The 16,886-nt window shown below is 40.1% G+C and overlaps 1 protein-coding gene across 14 annotated transcripts in view, besides 1 other annotated feature; it reads left to right on the top strand.

Moving 5' to 3' along the window:
• The window catches only part of GSDMC (gasdermin C), an 81,190-nt gene that overhangs the window by 28,626 nt on the left and 35,678 nt on the right, over positions 1 to 16,886 (top strand). For 4 of the 14 annotated variants that reach the window (NM_031415.3, XM_011517163.3, XM_017013645.2 and 1 more), the window contains 8 exons: positions 5,179 to 5,301; positions 5,852 to 5,893; positions 6,108 to 6,137; positions 6,431 to 6,457; positions 7,429 to 7,568; positions 7,880 to 8,009; positions 8,474 to 8,547; positions 9,259 to 9,803. In NM_031415.3, the coding sequence (NP_113603.1) occupies positions 5,179 to 5,301; positions 5,852 to 5,893; positions 6,108 to 6,137; positions 6,431 to 6,457; positions 7,429 to 7,568; positions 7,880 to 8,009; positions 8,474 to 8,547; positions 9,259 to 9,498 (806 nt within the window). In that variant the 3' untranslated portion in view covers positions 9,499 to 9,803. Of the gene's footprint in view, positions 1 to 1,755; positions 1,785 to 3,365; positions 3,448 to 5,178; positions 5,302 to 5,851; positions 5,894 to 6,107; positions 6,138 to 6,430; positions 6,458 to 7,428; positions 7,569 to 7,879; positions 8,010 to 8,473; positions 8,601 to 9,110; positions 9,804 to 10,918; positions 10,948 to 16,886 lie in introns of those variants that run through there. The other 10 variants (XR_928340.3, XR_928339.3, XM_011517161.3 and 7 more) reach the window with 9 other exon arrangements.
• Positions 4,551 to 4,750: an enhancer, noted in NCBI's record as "active region_27970". NCBI's record gives its function as "activates an Ori minimal core promoter by ATAC-STARR-seq in GM12878 lymphoblastoid cells {active_cell/tissue: GM12878}" and the evidence as "EXISTENCE:reporter gene assay evidence [ECO:0000049][PMID:35858748]".

Raw genomic sequence — 16,886 nt, 5'->3', positions numbered from 1 at the left:
TTTTTTTGAGACAGGGTTTTACTTTGTTGCTCAGGCTGTAGTGGTAGTGGCATGAACATGGCTCACTGCAACCTCTGCCTCACATACTCAAATGATCCTCCCACCTCAGCCCCCAAGTAGCTAGGACTACAGGCATGTGTCACCATGCCTGGCTAATTTTTGTATCTTTTTGTAGAGACATGGTCTCACCATGTTGCCCAGGCTGGTCTCAAACTCCTGAGCTCAAGTAATCTAGCCACCTTGGCCTCCCAAAGTGCTGGGATTGCAGGTGTGATCATGACACCTGGCTGTAAATGACCTTGTTAATGTTTCATTGAATTCGGTTTGCTAGTATTTTGTTGAAAATTTTTGCATCAATATTCATCAGAGATATTGCCTATAGGGTTTCTTTTTTCTTTTTTTTTGATGTATCTTAATTTAGTTTTGGTATCTGGGTAATACTGGCCTCATAGAATGAGTTTTGAAGTATTATCTCTTCTATTTTTTGGAGTAGTTTGAGTAGGACTAGTATTCATATTTTACTTTAAATATTTGGTAGAATTCAGCAGTGAATCCATCAGGTCCTGGGCTTTTCTTTACTGGGAGACTTTTTATTACAGCTTCTATCTCATTACTCATTACTGATCTGTTCAGGTTTTAAATTTCTTCATGGTTTAATCTTGGTAGGTTCTCTGGGTCTAGGAATGTATCATTTTTCTCTAGATTTTCCAATTTATTGGCATATGGTTGTTCATAGTAGCCACTAATGATCCTTTAAATTTCTGCTGTATCAGTTGTAATGTCTCCTTTTTCATCTCTGATTTTATTTGCGTCCTCTCCATTTTTTTTTTTATTGTTCTGGCTAAAGTTTTGTCAATTTTGTATATCTTTTCAAAAAGCCAACTTTTTGTTTCATTGATCTTTTGTATTGTTTTCTTCACTTTAATTTCATTTATTTCTACTCTGATCTTTATTATTTCTTTTTTTCTAATTGTGGGTTTGGTTTGATCTTGCTTTTCTAGTTCTTTAAGATGCATCATAAGGTAGTTTTTTATGAAGTTTTTCTTCTTTTTTGATGTAGGCACTTATAGCTATAAATATGCCTCTTTGTACTGCTTTGCTTTGTCCCACAGCTTTTGGTATGTTGTGTTTCCATTCTCATTTGTTTCAAGAAATGTTTCAATTTCCTTATTAATGTTTTCCTTGACCCACTGGTCATTCAGGAGCATATTGTTTAATTTCCATGTATTTGTATGGTTTCCAAAATTCCTCTTATTGTTGATTTCTAGTTTTATTCCATTGTGGTCAGAGAAGATGGCTGATATTATTTCAATATTTTGGAATGTTTTAATGCTTGTTTTATAACCTAACATATGATGTATCATTGAGAATGATCCATGTGCTGAGGAGAAAAAAATGTGTATTCTGCAGCCTTTAGATGAAATGTTCTCTAAGTATCTATTAGCTCTATTTGCTCTATAGTGCAGAATAAGTCTCAGGCTTCTTTCTTGAGTTTCTTTCTGTGAGATCTGTTCAGTGCTGAAAGTAGGGTGTTGAGGTCTCCACCTATTACTGTCTCTTTAGCTCTAATAATCTCTCTTTAGCTCTCTCTCTCTTTAGCTCTAATAATATCTCTCTCTTTAGCTCTAATAATATTTGCTTTATATATCTGGGTACTGCAGTGTTGAGTGCATATATATTTACCATCATTATATCATGTTGTTAGATCGACCCCCTTATCTTTATATAATGACCTTTTTTTGTCTCTCCTTACAGTTTTTGTCTTGAAATCTATTTTGTCTGATGTAAGTATAGCTATTTCTGCTTTTTTTTTTGGTTTCCATTAGCATGGAATATCTTTTTCCATCCCTTTATTTTCAGTCTATGTGTATCTTTATAGATGAAGTGTGTTTTTTGTAGGTAACAGATCATGGAATCTTGTTTTTTTTTTTAATCCTTTCAGCCACTCTTCATCTTTTGATTGATGAGTTTAGCCCATTTACAATTAATGTTATTGTTGATAAATAGGGATTTAATCCTGCCATTTTGTTATTGTTTTCTGGCCTTCTTTTCTTCCTTTTTGCCTTCCTTTTAGTGAAGGTGATTTTCTCTGATGGTGTTTTTTTTTTTGCTTTTTGTTTTCTGTGTCCATTGTAAGTCTTTTGATTTGAGGTTACTGTAAGACTTACAAATACTGTCTCATAACCCATTATTTTAAACTGATGAGAACTTAACATTGATTGCATAAACAAATGAACTAATAGGCAAAAAGAAACCTAATAAAGTAAAAACTCTACACTTTACCTTCCCGCTTTCTAACTTCTTGTTGTTTGTCTTTATGTCTTATTGTACTATGTCTTGAAAAGTTGTAGTTATTTTTGATTGATTCATCATTTAGTCTTTCTGCTTAAGAATAGTTTACATGCCATAATTATAGTGTTATAATGTTTATGTTTTTCCATGTGCTTCCTATTAGCAGTGAGTTTTGTATCTTTAGATGATTTCTTCTTGCTCATTAATGTCCTTTTCTTTCAGACTGAAGAACTCCCTTTAACATTTCTTATAAGACAGGTCTGGTGTTGATGAAATTACTCAGCTTTTGTTTGTCTGGAGATGTCTTTATTTCTCCTTCATCCTTGGAGGATATTTTTGCCAGTTATACTCTTCTAGGATAAAAGGTTTTTTTTTCTTCAGCAATTTAAATATGTCATGCCATTCTCTCCTGGCCTGTAAGGTTTCCAGTGAAAAGTCTGCTGCCAGACATATTGCAACTCCATTGTATGCTATTTGTTTCTTTTTCCTTGCTGCTTTAAGATCCTTTCTTTATCCTTGATCTTTGAGAGTTTGATTATGAGACACCTTGAGGTAGTCTGCTTTGGGTTAAATCTGCGTGGTGTTCTATAACTTACTTGTACTTGAATGTTGGTATCTTTCTATAGGTTTGGGAAATTCTTTAATATTATTCCTTTGGATAAACTTTCTTACCCTATCTCTTTCTCTGTGTCCTCTTTAAGGTCAACTTTTAGATTTGTCTTTCTGAGGCTATTTTCTAGATCATATGTGTGTGCTTCATTGTTTTTTATTCTTTTTTCTTTTGGTTCCTCTGACGGTATATTTTCAAATAGGCTGTCTTCAAGCTCACTAATACTTCCTTATGCTTGATTGAGTCTATTATTAAGTGACTCTCAGGCATTCTTCAGTATGTCAACTGCATTTTTCAACTCCAGAATTTTGGCTTAATTCTTTTTAATTATTTCAATTTCTTTTTTAAATGTGCCTGATAGAATTCTGAATTTCTTCTCAAGTTATCTTGAATTCCTTTGAGTTTCTTCAAAATACTATTCTGAATTCTTCATCTGAAAGATCACATGTCTCTTTTTCTTCCAGGATTTGTCCCTGGTGCCTTGTTTCGTTCATTGGTGAGGTCATGTTTTCCTGGATGATCCTGATTCTTGTAGATGTTTTTTGGTATGTAGGCATTGATGAATTAGGTATTTATTTTAGTCTTCTCAGGCTTGTTTGTGCCTGTCCTTGAGAAGGCTTTCCAGGTATTCAAAGGGACTTGGTTTTCCTGTTTGATATCTCTGTGGTTGTTGCAGACTCATAGAGGTTCTGCTTTGGTGGTCTTGCATAAGATCCAGAAAAATTACCTGGATTTCCAGGCAGAGACTCTTGTTTTTTCCCCTTACTTTCTCCCAAACAAATGGGGTCTCTCTCTCTGTACTGAGCCACCTGAAATTGGGAGTGTGGTGATGCAAGCACCCCTGTGGCCACCACCACTGGCTCTGCACTGGGTTAGACCTGAAGCCAGCACAGCACTGGGTCTCACCCAAGGCCTGCTGTAACCACTACTTGGCTACTACCTGTGTTCACTGAAGGCCCTAGGGCTCTACAATCAGCAGGTGACAAAGCCAGTGAGATTTTTTCACTTCCCGTCAGAGCAGTGAGTTTTCCCAGGCCTTGGGTGGGTACAGAGATGCTGTTTGGGAGCTAGGGATTGAAGTAAAATATCTTATAAATTTACCTTATGTTCTGCTCTACTGCTGCTAAGCTGTCACTCAAATCACAAGACAAAGTTTTCCCCACTCTTCCCTCCCCTTTTCACAGGTAGAGGAGCTCTCTCTGTGGCCACCATTACCACCGGCCCATGAGGGGTTCTGCCAGGCCACTGCATATGTTTGCTGACAGCCCAAGGGCTCATGAGTCAGCTTGTGGTAAATGGTGTCTGGCCTGGGTCTCACCCTTTAGGGAAGTGGGCTCTCCTGTGGCCCAGGGCAGGTCCAGAAATGCTGTTGAAGACCCTAGGCCTGGTCTTGAGGGCCCCAAGAGCCTGCTTGGTGCACTACACCACTGTGGCTGAACTGGTACCTAAGATGCAAGGCAAAGCCTCCTCTTTACTTTTCCCTCTGCTTTTCTCAAACAGAAGGAGTCTTTCACCATAGCCACCGCAGCTGGGAATATGCTGAGTCACACCTTTAGTTAGCACATCTCAGAGCCCAAGGCCCACTACATACCACCTGGGTACTGCTGCTGGTTATTTAGGGCCCAATGGTTCTGTATTCAGCAGATGATGAATTCTGCCAGGACTGTGTTCTTCCCTTCAAGGCAGTAGGTTCCCTTTTCACCCAGGGGTGTCTAGAGATGTTGTCCAGGAGCTAGGGCTTGGAATGGGGGCCTCACAACTCTACCCAGTCTCCTGTCCTACTGTGGCTGAGGTGATATCCACGATGCGGGACAGAATCCTCTGTACTCTTCACTCTCTTCACTTAAACAAAGGGAATGAGACACTTTCATTTCTGTGAGCTGCACTGCCTGAGATTGGGGGTGGGGTAGCGCAAGCACCTTTTTTTAGTCACCCCAGCTGGTGTCTCTTTAGGTCACATGTCACTCTAGTCCTCTGGCTCTGAGCCTAGCTCAGCATTAGAAATTGCCTAAACATTGCAGTCCTTCTGTCCTAGACTGACCTTTAAGTTTACCTAGGACTCCAGAGCTCTTTGGCTGGCATTTGCAAGGCTTGCCAAGAAACTTGAGTTCTGAAAGAAGGAATGGGCAATTCCTCTTTGAGTGGGTCTTGTTCAAATGCTCCCTTCGTGCACTGGCACTGATTGAGCCCAGCCTGGCTCTGCTCTCTGCTATGACAAGGCAGTACTGAGTTCAATGTAAAGTTACCCAGTCATTCTGCTCTCCCTCTCTCCCAAGAGTACGAAATTTCCGAAATGGTAGGCTACTGTGCTGCGAGGAGTGAGGGGTTGCTACCATCATTTCATACCATCTCTCCAACCCTCTTCAATGCCTCATCCAATGATATGAAGTTAAAACCAGGTACTGTGATTGCTCACTTTATTTTTACTTCTATGTTGATGCTTTTCTTTGTGCAGATAGTTGTTAAAATTTGGTGTTTATGTGGGGTGTATGAACCATGTAGGCTTCTATTGCACCATCTTGCTCATCCTCCTCTGGCAGTGTTTTTTTGCTTAGAACTTAGGCACTGCTGATCCCTGACCCCCTTTGGATTCCCACAAGAGCCCTGCTTGGGCTCAGCCCACACAAACCCACAGAGAACATTCCCCCAGTCATGCTCCTCCATTTCCTGCAACTGTCCCCTTCCTCTGACCCAGCCACTGTCCCCTGGGGCCACAGGGAAACCAGGCTTTCTCCTTTGAACATTGGGATAGGTGTGAGTCTGTTGGGGAAAGAGGCTGCCTGGGGATCCATCTCTCTGGGGAAGTTTTTTAACTGAACTGATGGAACATGTGAGAAATAAGGGGAGGATAGAGGAGTTAGAGGTGAGACCAAGAGGGAAAGAAGTAGAGGAGGAAAAGTAGGGGTAGACTAATGTTTGGTGAGTAAACACTTTTCTTTCTCTTTCCAGAGCTATTTCTGACACAGCAATTTTTGAGCGGGCATTTGCCAAGTGAGTGGAATCTGGCCCTCCCCTTCCAGGACAATCTGCACAACAAAAAACCACCTGATTGCCTTTGGTGCTATTACCCAAAGTCTTGGGGTCTGGCCTCTGGGGAAAAGGGCAGGAACAGATAGAGAAGAGTGGTTCAGGGAAAGAAGGGCAGAAGGTTGGAGAAATCTAGTCTTTGAGCCTCTTTGGTGAGGAATTTCATTTCTTTTTTTAGAATACGAACAAGTTCACATCCTCCCAGTAGGTGAGTGTGAGTTTGCTGGAGGTGGGGGTGGGGATCCCATCCTGCACACATGGGGTAAGTAGGGCAGATTGCCCCTGCCTCGCCTTTGCCACCACCGCCCTAGGGCCTGGCGTTTGGTCATGTGGAATGGGAAGGGTCCAGAAAGCTGAGAACATGGAGGATGAATGGGAATGGGGGCAGGAAGAAGTTGAGTAAGAGGGAGGAGGTGGTAGGAGAGCAGAACCCTCCAAAACATCTGAAAAGCAAATTTGGGGGGATGAGGAAGTGAGATGATGACTTGATTCTCCTTCTAGGAAGAATAGAGGAACCCTTCTGGCAAAGTAAGTATTTATTAAGGGGGAACCTGGGGCTTCTGGGTGGGAGCTGCAAGTCTGAGCACCCAAGTTGGTGGTTTCTATGCAAGTCAGAAACTGAGGTCCACTTCCAAATTTGCACTTTGCTCATGAAACAAACAAACATTTATTGAGGACTTATTGGACAACAAGAATTATTTTGAACCTGAAAGTTATGGCTGTGAACCAAGCAGACAAATTCTTGCCTCTTTGGAGCTTCCAATCCAGTGATCTCTCATCCCAAGCAGTACACCCTGAGGGAGCCAGATGTCTCCTGGGAGAGACAGAGGGCCCCCAGCATCCACCCCTTGGTTAATTCTTCATAAACATTGAGGATACTGGCAAAATTGCATGATAATAAGGGTAGCTTATATGTGCCAAGTGCCTTACATACATAAACTCTCTCTCTCTCTCTTGTTTTTTTGAGATGGGGTCTCACTATGTTGACCAGGCTGGTCTTAAATTCCTGGCCTCAAGCAATCCCCCCATGTCAGCCTCCCGAAGTGCTGGGATTACAGGTGTGAGCAATCATGCTTGGCCTACATAAACTCTTTTAATCCTCATAACATCCCATTTAACCAATATGGAAACTGATTCCAGAGCATCTAAGTTTTTTGCCTCTAAGGCCCAATGCTAGATTTTACAGTATTCCTGACATGTCCCAGAAATGACCACTTTGCCATTCTCTTCCATTTGTGATGATGTCTTTTCAGAATCTCAATCTCTGCTCCCAGTACCCTATTTCCCCTTTTCAGAACACTGGATTGTCCATCTTTTTCCTTCTTATGCCAGCTCTATCCACAAAGCTCAAGCATGCCATTAGCAGAGACAATTTTGGTTAGCAGCTGAAAGGGATAGAGGAGTTTGGTTCATATTCGTGCAAACAGGCTGTCATTCCAAGGATGTTCTAATCAAAGACTTGTCCCCACTTTCTGGTCGGCGTTGATGCCTGAGAGCAGATTTCAAGCATCTACAAGAGGAGGTTTTCCAGAAAATAAAGACACTGGCTCAGCTCTCAAAGGATGTTCAGGATGTCATGTTCTACAGTATCCTGGCCATGCTCAGAGACAGAGGGGCTCTACAGGACCTGATGAACATGGTGAGGGGCTCCACAGTTGCATAGGTCTGGTAAAAGCTGTAAATGGGATTGGTTAGGAGATATGACTCCCAAGTTACATGGAGGAGGAAGAATAAGCAAGATGCCAGGGGAATGAGAAAGACTGGGGACTCTGGTGCCGGGCACAATGGGCCAGGGAAGTGTCGCCCCCACTACTGAGGCTGCTTGGAATCCCCTGGGGGAGGTAGAGAACCCTCATGCCTACCCCTTGGTTATCACCAGTAGACACAGGCAAATTATATAACATTACTGTTATTAGTATTATTATTAACAATAATACCTGTCTTCTATAGCTGGAATTGGACAGCTCAGGTCATTTGGATGGCCCTGGTGGTGCCATCCTAAAGAAACTTCAACAGGATTCAAACCATGCATGGTTTAACCCAAAGGACCCCATTCTTTATCTCCTTGAAGCCATAATGGGTAAGAGTAATTAAAGGGAAGAATGGGAGAATCACAAGATTGGTCCCCAGGACCCGCAAAAAGCTGTGTTAGATGCTGTGTCTCCAAAGCCCTTTGAATGCCATGATCTTTCGTCCTTACATCACAGCTCTCTCTAAGGTCAGAGGGCTCACTGTGATAACTTGCCGTATGACACAGAATTGAGTTTAAGGCCTAGGGAGTTACCAGTTTATGTTCATCCACAAATCATTGGAGGTGGGTGATTCCAGCTTTCAGCCCCTGAATCCCGTCCTCTGGTCCCTCTTATTTAGCATCCTGGAGACCATTCTGAAGGGCTTCCCAGGGCAGGGAGCTTGACCTTCAAGTCTAATGGGTTTTATTCCTCTGCCTTGGAGTTATTCTCTCAGGGGGTCTCCTGCTTTATGGTGGGAGGAAAAATCTGGATTCTTCACTACTGTCTTTCCCCACATGTCCCCCACCCTCAGTGCTGAGTGACTTCCAACACGATTTGCTGGCCTGTTCCATGGAGAAGAGGATCCTGCTTCAGCAACAGGAGCTGGTGAGAACTTCCCAGGGGCCAGAAGTTCAGGGAAGAGGGTGAGGGAACCAGAGGTAAGAAGAATGATTCTGAGGAAAGAGAGATGATACAGGTTTTTGCTGGGAGGGGAGTCCAGATCACAGGGTGGCCACTGGGGAATCCTTGGCTGCAGTGTCCTTCTGGAGACCTGGTCCAGTGGGTATAAGCCTCCCTCAGGAGGGTCTTAGTTTCCATGGCAATCCCTGCAGCATTCCCCAACAGGCCTAAAATAGCCATATAGGAGCACAGGACTTTGAGGTCTAAGGGGATATAATATTCCTGCTCTAGTCACACTGTTACCATTTGCTAATTACTTCTGCTCTAGTTACACTGTTATGATTTGCTAATTTCTCTGTTTTTCTCTCTCCAAGTATATGTGTATATAAATACATACCTTTATATGCATATACTATATACATACATATATGCATATACATTTAGAAATAAAAACACCACTATTCTACAAGGGGAGTTTTATTTTCACCATTTCATAGATGTGGAACCAATGCTCCCTGATTTCCAATAACTTGATCTTTGGATCGTAGGGTATGACCAGCATGTTACTCCTGGTCCGCTGGATCCCAAAGCTCTTGCTCCTTTTATTATCCTGCATGGCCCCTGGATACTGGGGCAGAAGCCTTCTCTTCCTCATCTTAAAGGCTGGTCTGTAGAACCTGATCATCTTTCTTCTAGGTAAGGAGCATCCTGGAGCCAAACTTCAGATACCCCTGGAGCATTCCCTTCACCCTCAAACCTGAGCTCCTCGCCCCACTCCAGAGTGAGGGTTTGGCCATCACCTATGGCCTGCTGGAGGAGTGTGGCCTTAGGATGGAGCTGGATAACCCCAGGTCAACCTGGGATGTAGAAGCAAAGATGCCCCTGTCTGCCCTCTATGGGACTCTCTCGTTGCTGCAGCAGCTGGCTGAGGCCTAAGCCCTCCCTGATGGGCAGTCAGTCCAGAGATGCTGGCCCTCGCCCAGTCTATGCTGTGAGTGTCCTTATGGGTGCAAGAGATAGGGCTGTGCCTCTCTGCGTTTCCAGGTGGAGTAGAGACAGTAATGGGTAGAGACTTTAGGAAATGTTTTGGGGTGGTGGAATACTCTATATATTGACAAGAGTTTATATATTGACAAGAGTTTATATATTTGTCAAAACTCCTCAAATAGTATGTTAAAGACGTAAGCGTTTCACTATGTATAAATTTTACTTCAAAATAATAAAAACAAATACTGACTCTAGTTAATGGTGTGCATTTTGAATTGTTTTGGGTGAAGTGTACCGATAACGGTAACTTACATTGAAATGCAACAAAAAGTAAGTTGACTTGATGATAGACAGATAAGTGACCAAGTAAATGTGATAAAGTATTAGTAATTGGGGAATATGGGTGAAGGATATAGAAGAGATTTTTTTTTTCCTGGAAACATTTTGTGAGTCCGAAATTGTTTCACATTAAATGTTAGCCCCCACGTGTGTGTGTGTGTGTATGTGCATATTCCTCAATTATTAATATTTTGTCACATTTTCTTGGTCATGTATCTGTCTCATTCTGTGCTCTCTGTGTCATTTGCTAATGCCACCTCGCCTCCTAAGCTGAAACCTGGGAGTCCACCTTGACTCCTCTCCTTAATCCCCAATCAACACAGTCCAGCCGACTCACCATAGCCCTCCTCTTCTCACCTGGACAGCTGGTCTCGTGCTCCCAGCTGGTTGTCCTGCCACCATCTTGTTCTCTTCAAATTTTCCTTGAATCCTGGAGGCTCATATCACAGCAGGCATGGGGAATAATTTAAAAATGCAACCTTTGTATGTCACTCCTCTGCCTAAAATCCTTTAGATGCTCCCTGTCATCTAGAATTATCAACCAAGATTTTAAATATGACGTCTCATCAGAATCACCTTGGCTGACATTTTCACATGACAATAATGAAGTGACTAATCACCACTTCACTCTAGTGTATTCCAGTAATCCCTATTGCTCACATCATGTCTTCACTTTTAAACAGTGTTTACTTTTTTTCTGCTAAAAAAGGCAAGAAAATGAGTTCTTCTCCCATCTTGCTCTTCTATCATCTCCTATCTCCAATTATTTTATTATTTGTAAATTGCCAAGGAGTGTAACCGTATCCCTCATGGCTGTTTAGTGTTAATTCTTTATCAAATTTTTTTTTTTTTTTGAGACAGAGTCTTGCTCTGTCACTCAGGCTGGAATGCAGTGGCACGATCTCGGCTCACTGCAACCTCCACCTCCCAGGTTCAAGTGATTCTTGTGCCTCATCTTCCTGAATAGCTGGGATTGCAGGCATGTACCACCACACTCGGCTAATTTTTGTATTTTTTTTTTTTTGTACAGACAGGGTTTCACCATGTTGGCCGGGATGGTCTTGAACTCCTGGCCTCAAGTGATCTGCCTGCTTCGGCCTCCCAAAGTGCTGGGATTACAAGTGTGAGCCACCGTTCCCAGTCTGTTTAAATTTATTCATTGGTAAGTATCAGTCATTTTGTTTTATTCCTTGAATGGCTGTGATCAAATAATTTTTTCAGTAGTGCTTCACTCCCCAAGTCCCTTCATATTTGAGAAACTTTGCCTCTTGCCTTTGTTCTTGAAGAATTCCTTGGAGAGAGATTATATTTTTAGGTAGCAGGTAACACCTTCTTGCCCTCAGTCTTTTGTAGCCATGCAAAGGTCTCCCGTTGACTTATTGATGCTTTGAAGAAGAACAAGGCTAGTCAAATTTTCCCAAACTCTTTGCATATACATCTAAATGTATGCCTGAAGAATTCTTTCTTCATCCTTGAAGTTAAGCACTTTAACCAGGCAATACCTGTGTCTCAGTCACTCTATGTCACTTTTCCTGGGAGCTACAGATTCATTTTTTCCTTTCAGGAAAATTTCCTCTTATAATAATTAAATATCTTTTATATTCTATTTGTTAGGTTCCCTACCTCACAGATACCAATTGTCCTTTAGGATTCTCCATACATTATCTTGTCTAATTCTTGCATCTTTGATTTTTTTTCGTCTGCATTCTCTGAGATCACGGCAGCTCTTTCCTCTATGTCTATAACTCAACTCTCAACTATAATTACTTTCCAATTCATCAGTTCAGATATTGTGTTGTGACCTTCAGTTCTTTTCCTTAGCTTTACAGTCTCTCTTTTCACATATTTCTGTTGTTGTATCTTTGCAGCTTTGAGGTTTTTACCTTATTAAAGTATTTCTCTTAGATTCTTCCATGGCATAAAACTGTTCTTTTTCTTGAGCTATGTTTTCTACCTGAATTGATTCCTCCACTCTCTTCTTTTCCTGTAGTGTGCTTGTATGGAATCTCTGTCACTTCCCACCTTCTCCCCTACCCCGCACCATGCTCATCCTCAGCATGGGCAGCTCTGTCCAAATTATATTTGCACAAAGACAATAGGGTAAATGAGTTTTTCTCAACTCTTTTATCAATTAAATGAGATGGTTTCTGTTCCTCTGCAAACTATGGATTGAAACCTGTGTTTTCCAGTGCTTAAGGTCATGGCATGTAGAACGGCAGGAGGGCTCACCTGGGGGTCTGGGCAGTCTTGGATGATTGCCCCGGCCTCTCTTTCACCTTCTACGATTTTAAACATTCTCTGTGGTGAATTATACACTATGAACTACTCACTCCTTCTTCAAATTTCCTCCTTTTGTGGCTGCAGAGAAGTAGTGCTCTTGTTTTCCCTATCACCTATTTCTTTTTATTCACTAAACATTATTTACTGAAGGCCTAGTATGTTCCAGTCATTATTCTATGCACCTGGAGTTCCACTTCCCATTGATTTTATATTTCAGTGGAAAAAAAGAGAAAATAAATAAATGTATTATATAGTATATTAGAAAGTAACAAGTGTCATTATTTATCCAAGTAGAGATATTAAGGTTGTAGCATATAATTCGGGAAGATGCCTGAGTTGAAGACAATCATTTGAGCACAGACACTATAGATGTATTAAAGTCATGAGGCTGGATAAGACCACTTAGGAAGCAGTGAAAAATCACTATGAGAGAGTAAGAAGTTCCAGAGACGAATCCCTAGGGAACCCTACTGTTTAGAGGTTGAGTGAAGAGGAGAGAACATCAAAGAAGATGAGGAAGACTGAATGTAAAGTAAGGAGAAAACTAGGAGAGAATGTGACACTTGGAAGCCATATGAAAAAGGTTTCAAAAACTTCATTAAGTGTGATATAAACAGTGCTAATAGATCAAATGGTGCTAATAGATTGAGAGGAGAACTGAGGACTGACTATTGAATTTTGCTACATTGAGGTCATTGATAACTTTGACAAAAGCAATTTTCATGGGCTTGTAGTAAGAAAACTTGATTGGAATTGATTTAAGAGGGAGTGGGAAGAAATCCGTGAGAGACAGTCAGGGTAGGCAACCCATTATCCCTTATAGGCTATGTTTATACTTATTCATCCTTAAACAGTGGACCTCTCTAGGTCTCATCTATTCTCTTTATACATTTGTGGCAGAGAAACGAGTGTCTACACAAAATATTGACTTCCAATATCCATTTTCCACTGCTACCAGTATGATAGCATTGTTAAATGAGCACATGGTCATTCAGAAGAAATAGTATGTTTTCTAGTTTCCTATACAGCTAGGTTGGCCATATGACAAGGGGGATGTAAGCAGCAGTTTTCTGAGTTAATATCCAGAAACCATTCTTAAAGACGGTTAGTGTGTGCCTTCCTTGTCTCTTACTAGTCCCTTTATTCATTTGTCTGCTGGAATACAGATGGGAGGGCAGAGCATTGAGTTGGAGGAAGACTAAGTTCCTGAGGACTTTGTGAAACACAGCTGCGCTGTCAGCCCTACACTGCCTACTTTTTACTTCTGCATGAATGAAAATCAATTTCTTGTTGAAATTACCATTATGTTGGATCTGCATTACTTCTCTCTCAACCCAATTCTAACTGTTATACATTTCCTGGGCAATATTGTTCACAGTTACTATTTCATTTGCTGTCTATTTTTCAAATAATTACCTAACCTCCATCTCTAGAGCAGACATCAACCTTCAGATATATTTCTTAAAATATTGAGTAGGCTTTCACTTTTAGCTTGATTAAATAGCTTTTAGTGAATCTGCTCTCTTTCTGCAAATAAATAAAAACCTCACCAAAATATACTAAACAACTGTTTTCAGATATTGTGTAATAGGAAGCACAGGCAAACAAACAGGAGTCCTAAGATTGCCCCAGGTTTCTGCCTGGAGCACATTCTGAACCACAGTTCAGAAAGAGAAACCTGTATAAGGTGGAGTGGTCTCTCTGAGTTAACAACACAGAGATAGGAGGTTGAGGAGGCCAAAGGAACTAACATTTTTAGGGCAGAGTTCTAGGAAAGAGGGAGTATTATCCAGTAACTTACATAGGGTACCTTGAGCCTTGGTCTAAATACTTAACTTGTGCATGTATAGCATAAGGCTTCAAAATAGTAGATTTAAAAGCTATCAGCTAGCTGTAGCCTGCAAAATTTCTAGAGCTTGACTGGTTCTGGCAGATATTTGGGTTTCAACCAGCTACCATGGACAGAACTCATTGAACACTCAGGACATTCATTAGAAGTCCCAGAAGGATCATGTCTTAGTAGAAGGGATAAGATGTAGAGTGGAGGCTGTATAAACCCCATTTTAACAGAGTATAAAAACAAGCCTCAAAAGAATCAAGTGGATCTGCATATAACTAGTTGCCAGCTAAAGCAAAATTTAACACTTCTTAAAGGAATACAACAAAATCCAGACACATTCAATAATGCAACATTCACAATTCCAGTATTACTACACATGGGAAGAGGCAGGTAAATGTGATCTATAACATATCAATTAGTTAATAAACAGAATACAGAAATGACAGATGGGATGACGATGGTGGGTTAGCTGATAAGGACTTTAAAACAGCTTATTATAAATATGCTCAAGTGTTTAAAAGAAAACAGAAGCCTATTGAGGAAAGAAAAGAATAAATTGAAAATAACGAAATGGAATGTCTAGAGCTAAAAAATATCATGTGTGAAATAAAAATACACTGTACAGGCTTGTTAGTAGAATAGGTAATGCAGATGGAATGATAAATGAAATTTAAGATATAGTAATAGAAGCTAAACTGAAGCACAAAAAACAAAAAGTGCAAAGACCTTCAAGGACCTGTGATACGATATAACACATGTAATTGGAGCCCCATAACTAAAGTGAGCAAAAACAATACTTAAAAGAAATACGTGCTGAAAATTTAATGAAAATGTAATAAAAACCAAACTCCACAGACCCAAATGGCTTGGTGAACTCTGAACAGGATAAGCACACAAGAACACTATCCCAAGATGTACAATAATCACATTCCTGAAAACCAATGATAAAGGGATAACTTTAAAAGCAGGCACAGAAAGACCCAATGCATTCAGAGAAAGAAAGGTTACAATTATTGATGATTATAATGCAAATCCATGATAAAAAGCAAAGCAAAATAAAGGAAAACTATCAATCTAGAATTGACAATAATTTTCAGCAAAATAACTTTCAAAAATGAAAGTAAACTTTTGATTCTGGCCAACATGGAGTAGCAGAGACTGGATTTTTCCTTCTGCTGGAAACAACTAAAAAACCCACAAAATATATGAAATAATGGTTTTCAAGTAATTGGACAGCAGTTAAAAAGGACAGTGAGCCTTGAGAAATGGAAGAAAACCAAGGTGAGCCCTCTGATTGCCCCAGATTACTGTCTTGAGAGAGTTTCCAGCATGGCACAGGAAGGAGGAACCCAAGAACAGCCTAAGAACCTCCTCGAGTTGAATGGATGAAGGTGAGAGTCTGGGGAAGCCAAGGCAGCTAGAGTTTTCAGGACAGAGTACAGAGAAGAAAGAGTTGTACAGAGAGAAAACCCTAGAGACCTGTAGAATGACCCTGGTTGGATGGCTTGCAATTGTGTGTTGACTAAGTGAGATATCATTAGATTATTGAACAGATTTTTTGTTTCTAAAATGAATATTACTTTAAGTTGATAAATCATAATTGTATATTTTTATGGGGCAAAATGTGATATTTTGATATATGTATACAATAGGGGATGATTCCATCAAGCACATTAATATATCTATCACTTCACTTTCTCATCATTTTTTGTGATGGGGCATTTGCAATTTACTCTCAGCGATTAACTATGGTCACCCTGTTGTACAATAGATCTCAAAAACTTATTCCTTCTGTTTAATTGAAACTTTGTACTCTTTGACCAACATCTCTTCAATAACCCCCATCTTAGTCCCGCCCTAGTATCTGGTAACCTCCGTCCTACTCTCTATTTCTATGAGTTTAACTTAAAAATTTTTCATATAAGTGAGATTATGCAGTATTTTTCCTTTTGTGCCTGGCTTATTTCACTTAGCATTATGTCCTCCACATTCATCTGTGTTGTCACAAATGAAAGCATATCCTTCTTTTTTAAGGCTGAATATTATTTCATGTATATATATATATATATATATATTACATTTTCTTTATTCACTCATCTGTTTATGAACACTTAGATTGGTTTCATCTATTGTAAATAATACATCAATGAATATGGGAGTGCAGATATTTCTCTAACTTATTGATTTCACTTCTTGTGGATATATAACTAGAAGTGGGATTGTTGAATCATATGGTAGTTCTGTTGCTTTTAGTTTTTTGAGGGACCTCCATACTGTCTTCTAACATGGCTGTATTAATTTACATTCCCAGCAACAGCCTACAAGACTTTCCTTTTTTTCACATCCTCACCAACACTTATCTTTCATTTATCTGCTAATAGCCATTCTAACAGGTGTGAGGGGATAGCTCATTGTAATTTTAATTTGCATTTTCCTGATGATTAGAATATTTCCCTGATGATTGAGCATTGATGACAACAATTAAAGAAGACACAAATAAATTAGAAAAATCCCATGTTCATGGACTGGAAGAACTGATGCTGTTAAAATATCCCTACTACCCAAAGTGATCTACAGATTCAATGCAATTCTTATCAAAATTCTAATATCATTTTCACAGAAATAGAAAAAAACCCCCAAATTCATATACAACCAGAAAAGACTGTGAATAGCCAAACAATTTTGAGTTAAAATAACAAAACTGGAGGCATCACAGTTTCTGATTTTAAAAATATATTATAAAGATATTATAATCAAAACAACATGGTACTGGCATTACAACAGACAAATTGGCCAATGGAACAGGATAAAAAGCCCAGAAATAAACCGAAGTATTTAGGGTCAATTGATTTTCAACAAAAGTGCCAAGAATGCGTAA

This window comes from Homo sapiens, chromosome 8, assembly GCF_000001405.40.
Source record: "Homo sapiens chromosome 8, GRCh38.p14 Primary Assembly".
In the NCBI taxonomy this organism is placed as follows: domain Eukaryota; kingdom Metazoa; phylum Chordata; class Mammalia; order Primates; family Hominidae; genus Homo; species Homo sapiens.
This window is presented reverse-complemented; position numbering and strand designations above follow the sequence as displayed.